The sequence below is a fragment of the Homo sapiens genome, chromosome 3 (assembly GCF_000001405.40).
Source record: "Homo sapiens chromosome 3, GRCh38.p14 Primary Assembly".
Taxonomy (NCBI): Eukaryota; Metazoa; Chordata; class Mammalia; order Primates; family Hominidae; genus Homo; species Homo sapiens.
In genome coordinates, this window is record NC_000003.12 from 141,971,356 (window position 1) to 141,991,302 (window position 19,947).

Here is a 19,947-nt window from a genome sequence, read left to right on the forward strand (position 1 = left end):
GTGAAACCTCGTCTCTACTAAAAAAAAAAAAAAAAAAAAAAAAATTAGCCAGGCGTGTTGGCAGGCGCCTGTAATCCCAGCTACTCGGGAGGCTGAGGCAGGAGAATTGCTCGAACCCGGGAGGCGGAGGTTGCAGTGAGCCGAAGATTGCGCCACTGAACTCCAGCCTGGGTGACAGAGCAAGTCTCCAACTCAACAAAAAAAAAAAGAAAATTTATAGGAGCCCATTGGTTTGGACTGAGCTCCTGCACTAAGCTCAACAGACCAAACAAAAATGGAGTCACTCATGCTGAAATGCCACCAGGCCAAAACTGAGTTGTTTATCTGACCTAGGAAATCAGGAGAGAAAGAGAATAGCAAACTACCCAAACAGGCCAGTTGCAGCTGGCATAAGAGAGTCTTCTCTATTTTACCCTTACAAGGAAAGTGACATTGATATGTCCAGTCTGCTTTTTGTTCTGTTTCTGCCTCTATCCGCCTTTGCTGCTTCTCTATCTTTAAAACACTGAAGAATGTTCAACCTCTTCTGCTCAGCTTATAGGAATACTCATTCTACTTACTAGTGAGGTGTTGCCAGATTCTAGAATCACAAATAAAAGGCAATTAAGATCTTTAAACTAAATTTGTTACAATTTTGTCTTTCAATCATCAAATAAGACATTTTTCTTGTCTGCTCCAGCAGATTATCTCTTACTTGCTCCACATCCAGTCTAGTCTATACTAGCAGTTTCCATTCATGGTTCCTCTATCCACCACGTTTTACTTTTAAATTACTTAAGATTCACTGTAAAATCTGTGTGGCGTTCTGCATTTGAAAAGATGTTGTAGGAGCATCCCTTTATCAGAAGCTCTGACAAGCCAGGCCCCTTACCTGTCCCTCATCCAACCAGGTCAAGCTGCACTGATTGTACCTCTAAAACACCTCTCCAATCTCATGGCCGCTGCCGTAACTCAGACCATCTCTAATCCGCCTCCCCCATTCCATTTCCTTCCCTACCTGTTAATTTTATTTCCAACCCACTGGCAGAGTGATCCTTTAAAAAACATCCTATCAACCCTTCTCTTTGTAATTTATCAACTGCTTCCCTTTGTTTACAGGATCAGGTCTCCACTGCTTAACACTTAGATATCTATCCTCCTTTCTCCATGCCTGTTCCCTAGCCACACCCAGCTCCAGGCAAGCTTTCTCATGCCTGTCTCAGCCCATGTGGCACCTCTGCCTTGAAGGCCCTCCCCACCCTTATCCACTTGGCAGACTACTCCCACCTCATGCCTGAGCTCTGGGATTATCTCCTTGGTAAAGCCCTCCCTCAGCCCTCTTTGCAGAGAATCTGTACATTTCTTTCTTAGGAGTAATCACATTTTCGGTAACTCTTTTACATTTCTCTTCTCCCCGGTGAGAATGACAGTACCTTGGGGTCAGAGATTTGCCTTGTATAACCTGTGATTAAGCACAAGGTAGATGTGAATAGGGTTTTTTTGCTTAATGAGTCTTTGGTATCAGCTCAATATTACTGGTCATGAAAATGATGCTCAAATTCCACTCTATGAGAAGGAAGAAAAACAAGAAAAGGAGGATATTTCCACTGTAGCATATGAAAAATATTATATAGCTTCTGATGAATATCTGGTTTCTCTCTCCATCCATAAGTATAATAATACCAAATAACTGAATTGCTGGGGAGAAAAGACTGAGAAAAACAGGAAACCAATCTTAATTATCTCCCAAAGCTATGTGTATATATATATATATATATATATATATATATTTTTTTTTTTTAAAGATGGAGTCTTGCTCTTGTCGCCTAGGCTGGAGTGCAATGGCACCATCTCGGTTCACTGTAACCTCTGCCTCCCAGGTTCAAGCGATTCTCCTGCCTCAGCTTTCCAAGTAGCTGGGATTACAGGCGTCTGCCACTGGCTAATTTTTGTATTTTTAGTAGAGACGGGGTTTTACCATTTTGACACCCACCTCGGCCTCCCAAAGTGCTGGGATTACAGGCGTGAGCCACCGCCCCTGGCCCAGAAGCCATATTTAACCTCAGTTTACTCCATTTATGGCCATGATAGTAAAATTATGTCAAGTCAATTTAGAAACAGTATGTCAGGGAACATGCTCATTTAGGAAGAGTTTTCTATAATGCTTAAAGTTAACAGAACTTAAAATGCTTCTGCATACATCATTCCAAAATTCTATCCATTCTGGTAAAGACACAAATGAAACACTATTCATTCTGTTGCTACTATTTCAAAGTAAAAGTCTGACTTCCACAGCTATATTCAGAATATTGTGTAACCAATAAAGGAAATAAACAGCCGGCTTGATCCTTTTTTTTTTTTTTTTTTGGATACATACAGCAAGCATCTCATCAAATAAGATACCATTTCACCAAAAGTTTATTAGTAGAGTGCTCAGAATTAACTTAGGATGAAATAAAAATCTTCTCTAAGAAACAGTAAAATCAAATTGTTATTCAACTTTTATATCCCTCAGTTTCATCATTTGCAAATTAAACTGCAGACTATACCTATAAGGCGCCTTCCAATTCTAAAATTCTACAGTCTGTTAAAAAATGACATGGTATACATGAAAAATTGGAAATATTTTATATTAGAATTACATTTTTAAATTAAAATGCCTGTGATGTAAAATAATGCAAACAGCTATTCATAAACAGATTTTCTCACTTACCTCCAGATTCTGACATTCCTGAGCAGAATTGGTAGGCAGGCCAATCCACTTGATTTCTTTTTTTTCCTTTGAAATTATGTTCATTGCCATTAGCACATTTAAAGCATCATAAACTCTTCGCCTAATGTTCTTCTGATCATAAGCCTGCTAAAAAATATTTTCACTGAGTGATAAATCTTAAGGGTTAAGATACAGTCACATGATATGAATATATCAAATTAATATTACAACTTCAAAGTGCTGGAAGGATTCTATTTTTTTATTTAGCCAACTGACAAAAACATCCAAAAGAATTCTATATTCCGAGAAAATATCCTTCAAAATTAAAGATGAAATAAAAATACTTTCAAACAATATAAAACAAAATAATCTTAAAAATAAAGATCATGTTACCTGCAGATCTACACTGAAATATACTAAAGGGATTTCTTCAGGTAGAAGAAATATCATCTAAGATGGGAGCTTAGGTATGTAGGATAGAATGAAGACCAACCCAAAAAAGTAAATATGTGGGTAAATCTCAATTTTCACTGTATAAAACAATAATAATGCCTTATGGAGTCTAGAATACAGAACTTAATATACATGACAACAAATAGTATACATATTAACAGAAAAAGGTATTGGAGGTAAAGTGTTCTAAGCCCTTGCATTATCTGGGAGGATTTTAGACTTAAAAAAATCAAGGACATTTATTCAAGTTCTGGGTAAAACTGTGCTTCTCAAAATGTGTTCCTTGACCACTGCTGATCTGCAAACTGTCTCCAATCTACAATGGGACTAGGAACTTGTACCAAAATATAATCCTCTATATGACAAGGGACACTGTTCAGTTCAGCTGACCATTTTTCTTCTTCTTCTTTTTTTTTTTTTTTTTTTTTTTTGAGACAGTGTCTCGCTCTCTCGCCCACACTGGAGTGCAGTGGCGCAATCTCAGCTCACTGCAACCTCCACCTCCCGGGTTCAAGCGATTCTTCTGCCTCAGCCTCCCAAGTAGCTGGCACTATAGATGCACATCACCACGCCCAGCTAATTTTTCTATTTTTAGTAGAGACGGGGTTTCACCATATTGGCCAGGCTGATCTTGAACTCCTGACCTCATGATCTGCCTGCCTCGACCTCCCAAAGTGCTAGGATTACAGGTGTGAGCCACCATGCCCGGCCTTTTTCTTCTATTTTTTGATAGTAAGACTTAATCAAGGAAACCATGTTGGTTTACATTGTGGAACAAGGTCCTCAGGAAATGCAACGATAATAAAGGATGGTGGAGAACACTGAATCCACCTAAATATAAAACTAGATCTAAATAAGTGGGGGATTTAAGTTATAGAACTGAATGTAAATACTAGAAATCTTGACAATGGGCCAGGAGTGGTGGCTCATGCCTGTAATCCCACCACTTTGAGAGGCCAAGGTGGGCGGATCACCTGAGGTCAGGAGTTCAAGACCAGCCTGGCCAACATGGCAAAACCCCATCTCTACTAAAAAATACAAAACTTAACTGGGCGTGGTGGCGCATGACTGTAATGCCAGCTACTCAGGAGGATGAGGCAGGAAAATCGCTTGAATCCGGGAGATGGAGGTTGCAGTGAGCCAAGATTGAGCCACTGCACTCCAGTCTGGGTGACAGAGCTAGACTCTGTCTCAAAAAAAAAAAAAAAAAGAAATCTTGACCCTGTAGAAACAATGATACTGTAACAACAAGTACTGGGAGGAGGCAATGTGATAGGTATGCCAATTTCCTCTTTTTGATATTGGAAGGGATATGGATGTTGTTCAAAGCAGATTAAATAATAATAAAGGGTTCAGCACAATCTATTTATTTAAAGTAATAAAAACAACTATTTTTCCGAGACAGAGTCTTGCTCTGTTGCCCAGGCTGGAGTGCAGTGGTGAGATCTCAGCTCACTGCAACCTCCACCTTCTGGGTTCCAGTGATTCTCCAGCCTCAGCCTCCCGAGTAGTTGGGATTACAGGCGCCCACCACCACACCCAGCTAATTTTTGTATTTTTAGTACAGACAGGGTTTCATCATGTTGGCCAGGCTGGTCTCCAACTCCTGACAGTGTGATCCGTCCACCTCGGCCTCCCAAAGTGCTGGGATTATAGGCGTGAGCCACTGCACCCGGCCTATAGTAGTAGTATTATTCTTTTTAACAAATATACTAATATATCTAATCTGAGTCCCATGGTAGAAGAGAAAAATGGAAGACAGAAAAAAACATATGTTTTTCTTCATAACCAATAGATACTGTCTACAGGTGGTAACTCAAGGAACTTAAGTTATAAAGGTAACCAACTGAAGAACTGAGACTACAAGCATTCTAAATTATCAGAAAAATAACAAAGCAGTGAATAAAGAGAAAAAAACTCAACCTTTGTTTATATCCTGGGAAGGTGGTGGTGATAGGGTATTAGTAAAAATGTATTTTAGATATTGAAAAGTGCTAAGAAGAAATGCTTCATTGTGGTGACAGGTGAGTGAAGATCACAAGGCAGGGAGAGAGAAGCCATATGAATACCTAGCAAAGACTGCTCTAGGCAAAGCAGTGTAATGGCCTGATCAGGGACAAAACATGTAGCTGGAGCATAGTGACATGTGGCTGGAGGGTAGTAAATGAGACAGTGCATAGCAGAAGACGAGATTAGTGAGGTAATGGTGGGCAAGCTCACAAAGGGGCTTGCAGATCATTGTGAGAACCATGGCTTTCACTCAGAAACAGAATGCTATAGACTTTTTTTTTCAAGTGCCTAGAGAACATGAAAAGAAAAAGAAAATCACATATAATGGCTCCCAAGGAAAATCTCAATGTAATCCAAAAAAAAAAGGGAAATAGTTCAAATCATATTCTCTGGACAAATTAAGTAATAAAAGTAAAACTTTAAAGCAACAAACAAAACTTGGAACTATAAGAACTCTTTCTAAGGCAATCCTTAGGTCAAAGAACAAATTAAAACCAAAATTAAAGAACATCTAAAGAATAATATATCAGAATCAATAGGATAGGGCTAAATCAGTGCTCTAGAGAAACAGTCATAGCCATATATATATATATATATTTTTTTTTTTTTTTTTTTTTTCCCCCCAAAGAGACGAAGTCTTGCTTTGCCGCCCAGGCTGGAATGCAGTGGCATGATTGAATTCCTGGGCTCAAGCAATCCTCCTCAGCCTCTGGAGTAGCTGGGACTACAGGTTTGTGCCACTGCACCTCGCTAATTTAAAAAAAAAAACTTTTTGTAGAGGTCAGGCATGGTGGCTCATGCCTGTAATCCCAGCACTTTGGGAGGCTGAGGCTGGAGGATCACTTGAGTCAAGGAGTTCAAAATCAGCCTGGGCAACATAGTGAGACCTCATATCAAAAAAAAAAAAAAAAGATAAAGAAATAAATTTTTTTTCTGTAGAGGCAGAGCCTTGCCATTTTTGGTCCCAGCTACTCAGGATGCTGAGGCACAAGCATCACTTGAACCTGGGAAGTAGAGGTTTCATTGAGCCGAAACTGCACCACTGTATTCCATTTATTTGAGACTCTGCCAGACAACTGAATTTTTTATAAACATATTTATGTATTCCTTTTCCAATTAAAAATAAAATTTTCTTGTTGACTTAGACATTGAAGAAACAATAAGATTCAGAAACAATAAAAAATTATTGGATAGGCGACCAATTTTTTTTTTCTTTTTGAGACGGAGTCTCACTCTGTCGCCCAGGCTGGAGTACAGTGGTGCGATCTTGGCTTACTGCAACCTCCGCCTCCCAGGTTCAAGCAATTCTCCTGCCTCAGCCTCCTGAGTAGCTGGGATTACAGGCACATGCCACCATGCCTGGCTAATTTTTTGTATTTTTAGTAGAGACAGGGTTTCACAGTGTTAGCCAGGATGGTCTCGATCTCCTGACCTCATGATCCACCCACCTCAGACTCCCAAAGTGCTGGGATTACAGGCGTGAGCCACCGCGCCTGGCCAAATATTTTTTAAATGTTAAAAAAAAACAAAAAAAAACAAAAAAAACAACTAAGGCTGGGTACAGTGGCTCACGCCTGTAATCCCAGCACTTTGGAAGGCCAAGGCAGGTGGATCACCTGAGGTCAGGAGTTTGAGACCAGCCTGGCCAACATGGTGAAACACTGTCTCTACTAAAAATACAAAAATTGGCTGGGAATGGTGGTGTGCGCCTGTAATCCCAGCTACGCGGGAGGCTGAGTCACAAGAATAGCTTGAACCTGGGAGGCAGAGGTTGCAGTGAGCCGAGATCGCGCCACTGAACTCCAGCCTGGGCGACAGAGTGAGGTTCCGCCTAAAAAACAAAAAAAAAGGAATTCCCTCCAAAATAAAACTCAACAACAACAAAAAATCCCCCAAAATAAAGGATAAAACCCTCAAGTATAGTCGTGATTCCTCAAATCTATAACAAAGATAACACAAAGAAGTAGCATCATCCATCAAAATCAATGTCAGGTTCATGATTTACATACCGAATCAGCAGCCAAATGGTTATTTGAATTGGTGAACTCTGACACCAGCTCATCAGCGACTTCATTGTACGATGTTGTACCTTTTCGTTGAACTTTCTCACACACTTTCATTGAAAAGTGTCTCAAGCCTTTCCCATTTTTATCTCCTTTTTTGCTTCGTTTACTAGAAGGGAAAAAAGTTTTTTTTACTCCATTATACATATTAGAGACTTTCTTTACAAATCTCTGTAAGATAATGCAAGAAGACAGTAATTTAAGTTTTACTTCAAGTGTCAAAAATTTAAATTGAATAGAGATGAGAAAATGTTTATTTAAACTTACTTTTTGCCTTAAAGGTCTAATAAAGTATAAAGTTAGAGTGTTTTTCTATGCACAGCATTTATTTATTCAACAAATATTTATTGACCAGTTACTATTCTATGCCGGATACTGTTATTGACACTGAGAATAAGTCAGTGAAAAAACACAAAAACTCTGCCCTTGTACAGCTAACAGACTTATCTTTTCCTACTCTATGTAGATTATAGTTTTTTACTGAAATTAAAACTATAGTCATTTGCCACATAAGGACATTTCAGTCAATGATGGGCCGCATATACAACAGTAGTCCAATAAGATTACAATGGAGCTGAAAAATTCTCATTGCCTAGTGATGTAACCATCGTAATGGTTAATGTGAGTAATAATGCATTACTCACATGTTTGTGGTGATGCTGGCAAACAAACCTACTGCTCTGCCAGTCCTATAAAAGTCTAGCACATGCAATTATGGACAGTACATAATACTTGATAATGATAATAAATGACTATGTTACTGGTTTCTGTATTTACTAAACTATACTTTTCATCATTACTTTAGAGCGTACTTCTTCAAATTATAAATTAAAGTTAACTGTAAAAAGCCTCAGGCAATCCTTCAGGAGGTATCCAGAAGAACGCATTGTTATCACAGGAAATGACAGCTCCATGTGTGTTACTGCCCCTGAAGACCTTCCAGTAGGACAAAATGTGGAGGTGGAGGACAGTGATATTGATGATCTTGACCCCCCTGTAGGCCTAGGATAGTGTGTCTCAGTTTCCTTTTTTGGAGAGAGAGTTTCGCTCTATCCCCTAGGCTGGAGTGCAGTGGTGTGATCTCAGCTCACTGCAACCTCCGCCTCCCAGGTTCAAGCGATTCTCCTGCCTCAGCCTCCCGAGTAGCTGGGATTACAGGTGTGCACCACCACACCTGGCTAATTTTTGTACTTTTAGTAGAGACGGGGTTTCATCATGTTGGCCAGGCTGTTCCAGAACTCCTGACCTCAGGTGATCTGCCTGCCTCGGCCTCCCAAAGTGCTGGGATTACAGGCGTGAGCCACTGCGCCTGGCCCTCTGTCTCAGTTTTCTGTTTTTGGGTTTTTTTTTTTGGATTCAGGGTCTCACTCTGTTGCCCGGGCTAGAGTGCAGTGGTGCCGTCATGGCTCACTGCAGCCTAAACCTCCTGTGCTCAAGTGATCCTTCCACCTCAGCCTTCCAAGTAGTTAGAATTACAGGTGCATGTCACCATGCCTCGCTAATTTCTTTTTTGTAGAGACAGGGTCTCATTATGTTGCCCAGGCTGCTCTTGAACTCCTGACCTCAAGTGATCCCTCCCATCTCAGCTTCCCAAAGTGTTGGGTTATAAGTGTGAGCCACCCTGCCCAGCCACGTCTCAGTGTTCAACAAAAAAGTTTCAAAAGTAAAAAAAAAAAAAAAAAATTAGAAATTAAAAAACAAACAGAAAAAAGCTTATGGAATAAGGATATAAAGAAAATATTTTTGTACAGCTGTACAATGTGTAATGATTAATCAGGGTAATTGGGGTATCCGTCATCTCAAGCCTTTATTGTTTCTTTGTATTAGGAACATTCCAATTCCATTCCTCTAGTTACTTAAAATATACAATCAATTGTTGTTAACTACAGCAACCTATTGTACTACCAAATACTAGATATTATTCATTGTATCTAAGTGTATTTTTGGACCCATTAATATGTTTGTGTTTTTTTTGTTTGTTTGTTTTGAGAAAGAGTCTCACTCTATCCCCTAGGCTGGAGTGCAGTGGTATGATCTCAGCTCACTGAGAAACCCGGGTTCAAGTGATTCTCCTGCTTCAGCCTCCCGAGTAGCTGGCATTACAGGCGCCTACCCCCATGACTGGCTAATTTTTGTAGTTTTAGTAGAGATGGGGTTTCACCATGTTGGTCAGGCTGGTCTCGAACTCCTGACCTCAAGTGATCCATCCGCCTTGGCCTCCCAAAGTGCTGGGATTACAGATGTGAACCACTGCTCCTGGCCAATATTGTTTGTGTTTTAAGTCAAGTGTTACTACACGAGTAAAACAGTTTGAGAACATTAAAAAGTTTATAAAGTAAAAAATTTATAGTAAGCTAAGGTTAACTTATTATTGAAGAAGAAAAAAATCTTTTTAAAATAAATTACTGTAGCCTAAGTATACAGTGATTATAAAGTCTAAAGTAGTGTGCAGTAAATTCCTAGGCCTTCACATTCACTCACCACTCACTGACTCACCCAGAGCAACTTCCAGTCCTGCAAGCTCCATTCATGAAAAGTGCACTATAAAGGTGTATCATTAAAAAAAATCTTTTACAAGGTATTTTTACTCTACTTTTTTCTATGTTTAGGTATGTTTAAATACACAAATACTTATCACTGTGTTACAATGACCTATAGTATTCAAACCAGTAACATGCTGTGCAGGTTTATAGCCTCGGGGCAATAGGCTATACCAAGTACCTAAGTGTGTAGCAGGCTATACCACCCTGGGTTTGGGTAAGTACATTGATGATGTTCACACAACGATGAAATCGCCTAATGAAGCCTTTCTCAGAACATAGCCCCTCATTAAGTGATGTGGGACTGTGAATATATTTACTGATAAATAATTTACATGTTCTATGTTATGTACATAGAAAGAGATACTAAACATGCAGTTTTAAAAGGAATATGAGAAAAGGATATCTACTCTCCTTTCCCTACATTCCCAAAGAGTTGTGTATGCATCCCTTGTGATAGTATAGGACAGCATACTTATCTTACCTCACAGACTACTTATTTGAAATAATGTGAAATCACTAAAATATATTGAATGGTATTAAGTAGTGGAGTAGAATGGTGACATTTTCAGTTAGGCAGACATTCTCACTGCAAAGCAGATTTTGGAATCAGAATTAGTAACAGTAGAAGTGAAATTTATGAGGCAAAAGCAGAGACACAAAGACCAACTGAGAGGGTATTGCAATAGTCCAGGTAAGAGAATATGAATCCCCAAACTGGAGCTGTGGTAGGGCAGGAGATAAAAAGATGGATTTACAAAATTTTAAAAGACAAAAAATCAATAAAATTGTCTGAAGTGGAGGGTAAGGAAGAGAGGAATAGTAGAATGACCTCTAGAAAGAAGGGTCATTTACTGAGATCGAAGAGATGAATTAAATTTATGAGTTGCATTTTAAACCTCCTAATCAGCACTGTCCAATACCCCTAGGCATAACTCACATGTGGCTATTGAATACTTGAAATGTGGGAAGTGTGAATTGAGATATGTCGTAAGTTTAACACACTGGATTTTAAATACTTAATATAAGGAATGAATGTAAAATACCTCACTAGTGATTTTTATATTTAATTACACACTGAAATACAATATTTTGGATATATTGGACTAAATTAAAAATATTAAAATTAACTTCAGATATTTATTTTCTTTTAAAATTTCTATTGGGCAGAAATAATGTTGTGTATGGGATTATATAGCCAGGAAAAGAACTGGTTAATGGCTTAAAGTAAATAAATTTCTCAACTTAGTGGTTATATGCTTTTTTCTTCTTCTTTTTTTTTAAAAGACTACTCAAGTAGTCTTTACCCCCTACTCAAGTAGGGGGTAAAGTGTAGAACAAGGAGTTTGATCTGTGTTCAACTGATTGTGAACCATCAATTGAGATAACTCACTACCTTCAGGCCAGCCAGTTACATACTTTTGAAAAGCCAAGAGTGAAGCAGGGTTGTTTTTCATCCAATTCTTGGTCTTTTTGTTAAAGGCAGCAATAAGATAGGGTGGTTTCGGGCAATCACTTAGCTAATTGGCTCTCTATAGTCATACCTGGATAATATTTGTAGTCATACCTGGATAATATTTAAAGGAAGAAACTAAACATAGTCCTTAAGTAGGAACAACTACAATTTTAACAACTATTATAAAACAGTGATGGCTATACTCTTGAAATGTAGATACAAGCCTACATGTAAGAGTTTTATAAAATCAGTTCAGTGCATAAATTGATAATAAACTTGAAGAAAACTTGGTTAAATATCAACATTAGTAAACTATCAGATACATATTTTGAGCAGTTTACTCGATTTAACTCTGATCCACAGTCCTTCATCTGAAAAATGCAGAATACACATCTCACAAGTTGTGAGGATGAAATGCATATAACATATGGTACACTACAAGTGATCTTATCCCCTTCATGAGCTGCTAGAATTTTCATAAGCAATATAAAACCAAAGGGCACTATTCAACAATGGCTGGATCAAGAAATTAAGCTTATTATTTGGAAGGTTAATAGAATATCATGCCAAAACTCAATTAACATCAACATTAAAATTCAACAAAGGAGGTTAAAAGAGTCAACACCTGCCATACACAGATGAGAGATTTGGTCCTGCAACCAATCCAGTAAGCCACTTTGAAAGTTAAGCAAAAAATGTCTCTAGTTAAAGAACACTAAAAGGCAAAAGGCTATATAAAGAATTACAACAAAAAACGAAACAACTCAATTCAAAAATGGGCAAAGGGCCAGGTGCAGTGGCTCGTGCCTGTAATCCCAGCACTTTGGGAGGCCAAGGCAAGTGGATCACTTGAGGTCAGGAGTTAGAGACCAGCCTGGCCAACATGGTGAAACTCCATCTCCACAAAAAAATACAAAAATTAGCTGGACGTGGTGGTACACATCTGTAATCCTAGCTACTTGGGAGGCTGAGGCATGAGAATCACTTGAACCTGGGAGGCAAAGGTTGCAGTTCACGCCATCACACGCCAGCCTGGGAGTGAGAATGTCTCAAGAAAAAAAAAAAAAAAGGGCAAAAGACTTAATAGTCATTTATCCAAAGAAGATATACAAATAGCCAAAAAGTACATGAAAAGATGCTCAACGTCACTCATCATTAGAGAAATATAAATCAAAACCATAATGAGATGCCACTACATACCCATTAGAATGGCTATTAAAAAAACAAAAACTGAAAACGAGAAAGTGTTGGAGAGGATGTAGAGAAACTGCACCCATTATGCACTGCTGGTGGAAATATAAAATGATACAGCCACTGTGGAAAACAATATGGCAATTTCTCAAAAAAAGTAAACATAGAATTACCATATGATCCAGTAATTTCACTTTTGGGTATACACCCAGATGAATCTGAAAGCAGGAACAACAGATATTTGTACACCCATGCTCATAGCACCATTATTCACAATAGGTAAAATGTGGAAGCAACCCAACTGCCCACCAATGAATGGATAAACAGATAAAATGTGGTATATACATATAATGAAATACATTCATCCTTAAAAAGGAATAAAATTCTGATACATACTACACTACAGATGAACTGTGAAGACATAAGTGACATAAGCCAGACATAAAAAGATAAATATTGGGTTGGGTGTGGTGGCTCACACCTGTAATCCCAGCACTTTGGGAGGCCGAGGTAGGCGGATCATGAGGTCAAGAGATCAAGACCATCCTGGCCAACGTGGTGAAACCCCGTTTACTAAAAATACAAAAATTAGCTGGTGTGGTGGCGCGTGCCTGTAGTCTCAGCTACTTGGGAGGCTGAGGCAGAAGAACTGCTTGAACCCAGGAGGCAGAGGTTTTAGTGAGCCGAGATCACGCCACCGTACACGCCTGGCGACAGAGCGAAACTCCGTCTCAAAAAAAAAATAAAAAGATATTGTATGATTCCACTTATATGAAATCAAATTATAGTCAAAATCATAGAAAGTAGAACAGAGGGATTGTGGGGGAGTGGTAAATGTAGTGTTGTTGCTTCATGGGGACAGAGTTTCAATATGGGATGATGAAAAAGTTCTCAAGATGGATAGTGGTGATAGTTGCCCAACAATTTATTATTTCTCCATGGTTCTTTTGGTTTTGAACTGACTTATGTTTTGTTGTCTTTGATGCTTAAGTTTTGATGATTTCATGGCTTTATTAGCCAGTGTATTTCTGCAAATAAGATGCTGTAGTTTATGTATTATGTATTTCATCATCAATTATGGCTACAAAACCAAATTCAATATGAGAGGGGGTCATGTTTCTGAGCAAAACTAATACAAACTCTATTGTATTCATTTTACTGTTCTTCTTCTTTTTTTTTACATTGCTCCTTGTGGAGCAGGACTACCCCATAGGCAACGTGCCCAGAGTAGCCTGTTCTTCATTCTTTAAGTTACTTCCATTGTCACATCTGGTTAACTACTACTGCTGCCACCTTCAGAATAGGTATGCCTTTTCTTGAAAAAAATAGTTCAGGATGCTTATCTCACCATTAGAAAATGAGGATTAAAATAAAAGTTTACTTTTCTAATTTAGCTGATAATTTTAAATAATAAACCCAGGCTTGTTTGAAAAATTAAAATAACTGTAAAAATGTTATAAAAATAAATGTCAAAAATCCCTATTTTGGCCAAGCACAGTGGCTCAAGTCTATAATCCTAGCACTTTAGGAGGCCGAGGCAGGCAGATCGCCTGAGCCCAGCATTTCAAGACCAGGCTGGGCAACATAGTGAGACCTCATCTCTACAAAAAATGTAAAAATTAGTCAGGTGTGGTGATATATGCCAGCTACTCAGGAGGCTGAGGCAGGAGGATTGCTTGTGCCTAGGAGGTCAAGGCTGTAGTGAGCCATGACTGCGCCACTGCACTCCAGCCTGGGAGACAGAGCAAGACGCTGTCTCAAAAAAAAAAAAAAAAAAAAAAAACACCTATTTTTTCTTCATAGATTTTCTATATGCTTCTGGGTTACATTTGACAAATTAACCTTAATAAAAATTAACTCAAAGCAAAGACCTAAATGTAAGAGCTAAACCTATCAAACTCTTAGAAGAAAACGTAGGTGTTAAGTCTTTGTGACCTTGGATTAGGCAAAGATGTTTTAGATATATGACACAAAAGCATAAGTAACACAAGAAAAAAATAAGTTAATTAAACATCAAAATTAAAAACATTTGTGCCTCAAAAGACACCATTAAGAATGAAAGGTCAATTCACAGATTGGAGAAAAACTCTGCAAATCATGTATTTAATAAGGGATTTCCATCTAGAATATACAAGGAATGCAAATCAAAATGCTTTGAGTTAATTTTTATTAATGAGGTACCATTTCACAAGAAGTGTTAGCAAAAACGTGGAGAAACTGGAATACTCATACATTGTTTATGGGAATGTAAAACGGTACAGCCACTTTGGAAAACAGTCTAGCCATACTCAAAAGGGCTAAACAAAGAGTAACTGTATGACCCAGCAATTCCACTCCTTAGTCTGAGCTTAGTCTATAAAAGATGGCTAGGAATACACCACAGGAGCCCACAACATGAGGAAGAAAGCTTTCCTTTTCTTCTTATGTAGTCCTGTCCCATCGTCTAGTGACTTACAGCCTACAAGTTGAGAGTTACCTGGCTACAGTGTTTAACTTCTTCCTGAGTTTTTAAATGCAAATTTTCATTGACGTACATAACACATAAAGAAAAGTACGCAAACCAACTGTGTTAAGTGTCTCCTTCTAGTTACAGTTCCACCCAAACCCAACACCTCAAGAATATCTGTTACCATGACTTCTATTATAGTTTTCCCTATTTTGAACTTTAAATTAAAATCATATAGTATGTACCCTTTTGTATCTGACAACACTATTTGAGAGATTCATTCACACTTTTCATGTGACTGTATTTCATTCATTTCATTGTATGAATACATTGCAATTCATTCATCCATTCTGCAGATGGGCATTTGGTTTGTTTCTAGTTGAAGGCTAATAGTGTTTCTATAAACTTTCTTGTACATGTTTTTGGTGAATGTGTGCACAAATTTCTGTTGAGCATACACAAGGAACAGAATTGATGAGTTACGGGTATGTGTACATTCAACTTCAGCAGACACTGCTAACTCCCAAAATGACTGTACCAGTTTTTCCTGCCACCAGCAGTGTATGAGCATTCTAGATGCTTCATATCCTTGCCAAACTTAGCACTGTCTATCCTTTTCATTGTAGCCATTCTGATGGATGTAAAGTGGTATTGCACTGTGGTTTTCATTTGCATTTTTCTAATGATTAATGCTGATAAGCACTTTTTCATGTTTACTGGCCCGTTTGTATTTTTTGCTAGAATAAAAAAATTCTGTTCATTTTTATATGCCCTTATATCCAGCAACCTTGCTAAATTCATTTTTCTCATAAATTGTCTGTAGATTCTTTTGTTTTTTCTTGGTATACAATCACATCATCTGCAAATAGTGCCATTTTATTTCTTCATTTACAATTCTTTTATTAAGGCTTTCCATTTTGTTTCTTGGCTTACTGCACTAGCAAGAATTTCCACTACAATACTGAATAGAGGTGGTGATTAACTAGGGATTCTCCTTGTTTCTTATGCCAAGTTGAAAGCTTTTTATTCACTACTAAATGTAATGTTTGCTGTCAGATTTGTGTGTGTGTGTGTGTGTGTGTGTGTGTGTGTTTTAGCCAGAGTCTCACTCTGTCACCCAGGCTGCAGTACAGTGGTGTGATCTCTGCTCACTGCAGCCTCTGCCTCCAGGTTCAGGCAATTCTCCTGCCTCAGCCTCCTGAGTAGCTGGGACTACAGGTGCATCCTGCCACGCCCAGCTAATGTTTTGTATTTTTAGTAGAGACTGGGTTTCACCATGTTGCCCAGGCTGGTGTCGAACTCCTGAGCTCAGGCGATCCACCCAACTTAGCCTCCCAAAGTGTTGGGATTACAGGCATGAGCCACTGCGCCTGGCGTGTGTGTGTGTGTGTGTGTGTATGCGTGCGTGCATGTGTGTGTGTTTTAAAGACATTCTTCTCGGCCGGGTGCGGTGGTTCATGCCTGTAATCCCAGCACTTTGGGAGGCCGAGGTGGGTGGATCACTTGAGGTCAGGAGTTCAAGACCAGCCTGGCCAACATGGTGAAATCCAGTCTCTACTAAAAATAGAAAAAAAAAAAAAAAATTAGCCGGGCATGATGGCAGGTGCCTGTAATCCCAGCTACTCCGAAGGCTGAGGCAGGAGAATCGCTTAAACTCAGGAGGCAGTGGTTGCAGTGGGCTGAGATTGTGCCACTGCACTCCAGCCTGGACGACAGAGCAAGACCCTGCCTCAAAAAAAAAAGAAAAGAAAAAGAAAATGACATTCTTCTCATTCTGTCACCCAGGCTGGAGTGCAGGGGCCTGATCTTGGCTCATTGCAGCCTTGACCTCCTATACTCAGCGATCCTCCTGCCTCAGCTTCCCAAATAGCTGGGACTACAGGAGTATACCACCATGCCTGGCTAAGTTTTGTATTTTTTCTAGAGATGGTGTTTTGCCATGTTGCTCAGGCTAGTCTCGAATTCTTGGGCGCAAGAGAATCGCCTGGGTTGGCCTCCCAAAGTGCTGGGATGCCAGGCGTGAGCCACCGTGCCTGGCCTGCTGTTGGTTTTTGCCAATTGTCTTTAACATACTAAGTTCCCTTCTATTACTAGTTTGCCACTTACCATAATGAGTAGAGTTTAATCAAGTCATGTGCTTTTTTCTGTACCAACTGATCATAACATTTTTCTCCTTTATTTTGTACAAAATCCTAGATTCTCAGCCTCCTGCCCACAAACAGCAAACTACCCCATATCTAAAAGCTACTGTGGAAGTCCCTCAACTTTCTGAGGTTCTTCCTGATCTAGTTTTAGCCCCTCTAGTTCTCCTGCCTCAGTAGATTTCTGGTATCTTCAAATAACACAATCCCAGCTATTCTCTGCAGCAACACTAGACTGCTGCCAAGTTATTTCATTAAAATAAAAATTCTGTTTTCATGTTTTAATATCTTGAAGAACTGTTTTTAGCAATCTTTTCTTTTCTTTTTTTTTTTTTTTTTTGAGATGGAGTCTCACTCTGTCGTCAGGCTGGAGTGCAGTGGTGCAATCTCAGCTCACTGCAACCTCTGCCTCCCAGGTTCAAGCGATTCTCCTGCCTCAGCCTCCCGAGTAGTTACAGGCACGCGCCACCATGCCCAGCTATATTTTGTATTCTTAGTAGAGACAGGGTTTCACCATGTGGGCCAGGATGGTCTCGAACTGATCCGCCTGCCTCAGCCTCCCAAAGTGCTGGGATTACAGGCCTGAGCCAACACGCCCGGCTGGCAATCATGTTTTAAACTTCATAGAATGTTTTTCTTCTTTGCTTCTTTTCCATAGGATCTTCTTTTTCTTTCATGAATATTATCTCTTCTCAGGAACCTTCAGACCTCTCAAAGGGTGATAATTACAACTTTATTTTATTGTTCTTTTTTATCTTACATCCTCTTGGGTCATAACTTTTGTTTATTCATCTTGTTCCTTTTCTTTCATCATAGTTTTCCAAAAATGTCCTGTTCTTTCATGTTCACGAATGTTGGATTCAAGTTTTCAATATATAGAGTTTACATGAGCTTCTTGTATGCACGCTTGTTTTCCTAAGAAGGTTCCCCCACTTGTGGAGGGCTAACCACAACTTCTCTGGATGTGAGTGGGCCATGCTGGCAACAAGCTTAACTTCAGGTTGTATTTGCTGCTAAGCAGACAAGCAGGCAGCCAGTCTGGTCTCTCTCTCTTCCCACAAATACAAATGCCAGTATGAGGAAAACCTGTTCTGGGGCATACTAAAATTCTTAAACCAGCTGAAGCAGGCAGTTGTTTCCCTGGGATCAGTTCTCCAAGTTTCAGCCCTAGGGGAGAAATGTTTTTGGGGCAACTGCTCTGTGTATGGAGGTGGGATAAGAGGTACAAGGGGATTTGAAGGGTTGGGATGGTTCAGCTGGCCCAGCTGCTAAAAGTCTTTATTCAATCGCCCTCCTTACTTCCTCCAACAATTCATTCTTGCTTTCTACGCAGGTCAACTTTAAGCCTGGAGCCTCTCTGTGACAATGTAGGGTACAATGGCTACCATTTCTGATGCTGACTTCTTCCACGCAATATGCGATGTAGATTTCTCTACTTTCACTTTTCATTATAATAACACTAGCTTTCATTTTCTAGTTGGAAAATCTATACCCCTATCATTTTTTACAGCACTTTTACAGATTTACTTTAATAATAATAATAATAATTATTATTATTATTATTGAGACAGAGTCTCCCTCGGTCACCGGGGCTGGAGTGCAGTGGCACGAACTTGGCTCACTGCAACCTCTGCCTCCTGGGTTCAAGCAATTCTTGCGCCTCAGCCTCCCGAATAGCTGGGATTACAGGCATGTGCCACCACGCTTGACTAATTTTTGTATTTTCAGTAGAGACAGGGTTTCACCAGGTTGGCCAGGCTGGTCTTGAACTCCTGACCTCAAGTGATATGGCCACCCTGGCCTCCCAAAGTACTGGGATTACAGGCGTGAGCCACCATGCCCAGCCCCTTTAATTATTTTTTATACTAAAATTTCAATAAGATCTTAGCAGTGAGCATGAGGGAGGTAGGGAGTAAACATGAGACGGAGTCCCGCTGTGTTGACCAGGCTGGAGTCTCACCCTGTTGCCCAAAATGGAGTGCAGTGGTGTGATCTTGGCTCACTGCAGCCTCTGCCTCCCGGGTTCAAGCGATTCTCTTGCCTCAGCCTCCTGAGTAGCTGGGATTACAGGCACCCACCACCATGCCCAACTAATTTTTGTATTTTTAGTAGAGACAAGTTTCACCATAAAAAACCTCAGCCTCTCAAAGTGCTGAGATTACAGGTGTGAGCCACCGTGCCCAGTCTGTGGTTTTATTTTCTTATTTAGGTTTTAGCTTCTTAATTTAGTTCCTTTGATAAAGAATGCTTCCTCCTGGTTTCTTTGTTTGGTTTATGAACTTATAGAGTGTTTACATCCTGTGGCCAAATTTTGACGTTATTTGGAAAGAGAGGGTCTTGGTGTTTGAAAGAGCTCAGGTTCTAAAAAAATGTATAAACCTTATATATTTAAGATTTAAATAGAGAGCTTCCAATTTAAGATGGACTGGGCTGGGCACGGTGGCTCATGCCTGTAATCCCAATTCTTTGGGAGGCTGAGGCGGGCAGATTGCAAGGTCAGGAGATCAAAACCATCCTGGGCTAACACGGTGAAACCCCGTCTCTACTGAAAATACAAAAAATTAGCCGGGCATGGTGGCACACGCCTGTAATCCCAGCTACTTGGGAGGCTGAAGCAGGAGAATCACTTGAGCCCAGGAAGCGTAAGTTGCAGCGAGCCGAGATCACACCACTGCACTCCAGCCTGGGCAACAGGGTGAGACTCCATCTCAAAAAACAAACAAACAAACAAACCCCACTAATATACTATGGTTTGAAAAGCATGTTACATTTTATTGATTATTTCCTTTGAAGTTTCAAAAGAATTACACCCAAATAATAAAAAAGTATTTTTCTTTCTTTCCAGGCACGTAACTAGAATCTACAAACCATCTTTTGACATTTTCCCAATAAATTTTTTTATGGTTTACAAAAGTAATATACAACTTAAATGTATAGTATTGTATCTCAAGTATA

At 39.5% G+C, this 19,947-nt stretch overlaps 1 protein-coding gene across 27 annotated transcripts in view; it reads right to left on the minus strand.

Moving 5' to 3' along the window:
* The window catches only part of TFDP2 (transcription factor Dp-2), a 205,117-nt gene that overhangs the window by 26,928 nt on the left and 158,242 nt on the right, over positions 1-19,947 (minus strand). For 16 of the 27 annotated variants that reach the window (NM_001375780.1, XM_017007100.3, NM_001178139.2 and 13 more), the window contains 2 exons: positions 7,165-7,327; positions 2,693-2,836 (listed from right to left, as the gene is read on the minus strand). In NM_001375780.1, the coding sequence (NP_001362709.1) occupies positions 2,693-2,836; positions 7,165-7,327 (307 nt within the window). Of the gene's footprint in view, positions 1-2,692; positions 2,840-7,164; positions 7,328-19,947 lie in introns of all 27 variants that reach the window. The other 11 variants (XM_011513107.3, NM_001375773.1, NM_001375776.1 and 8 more) reach the window with 1 other exon arrangement.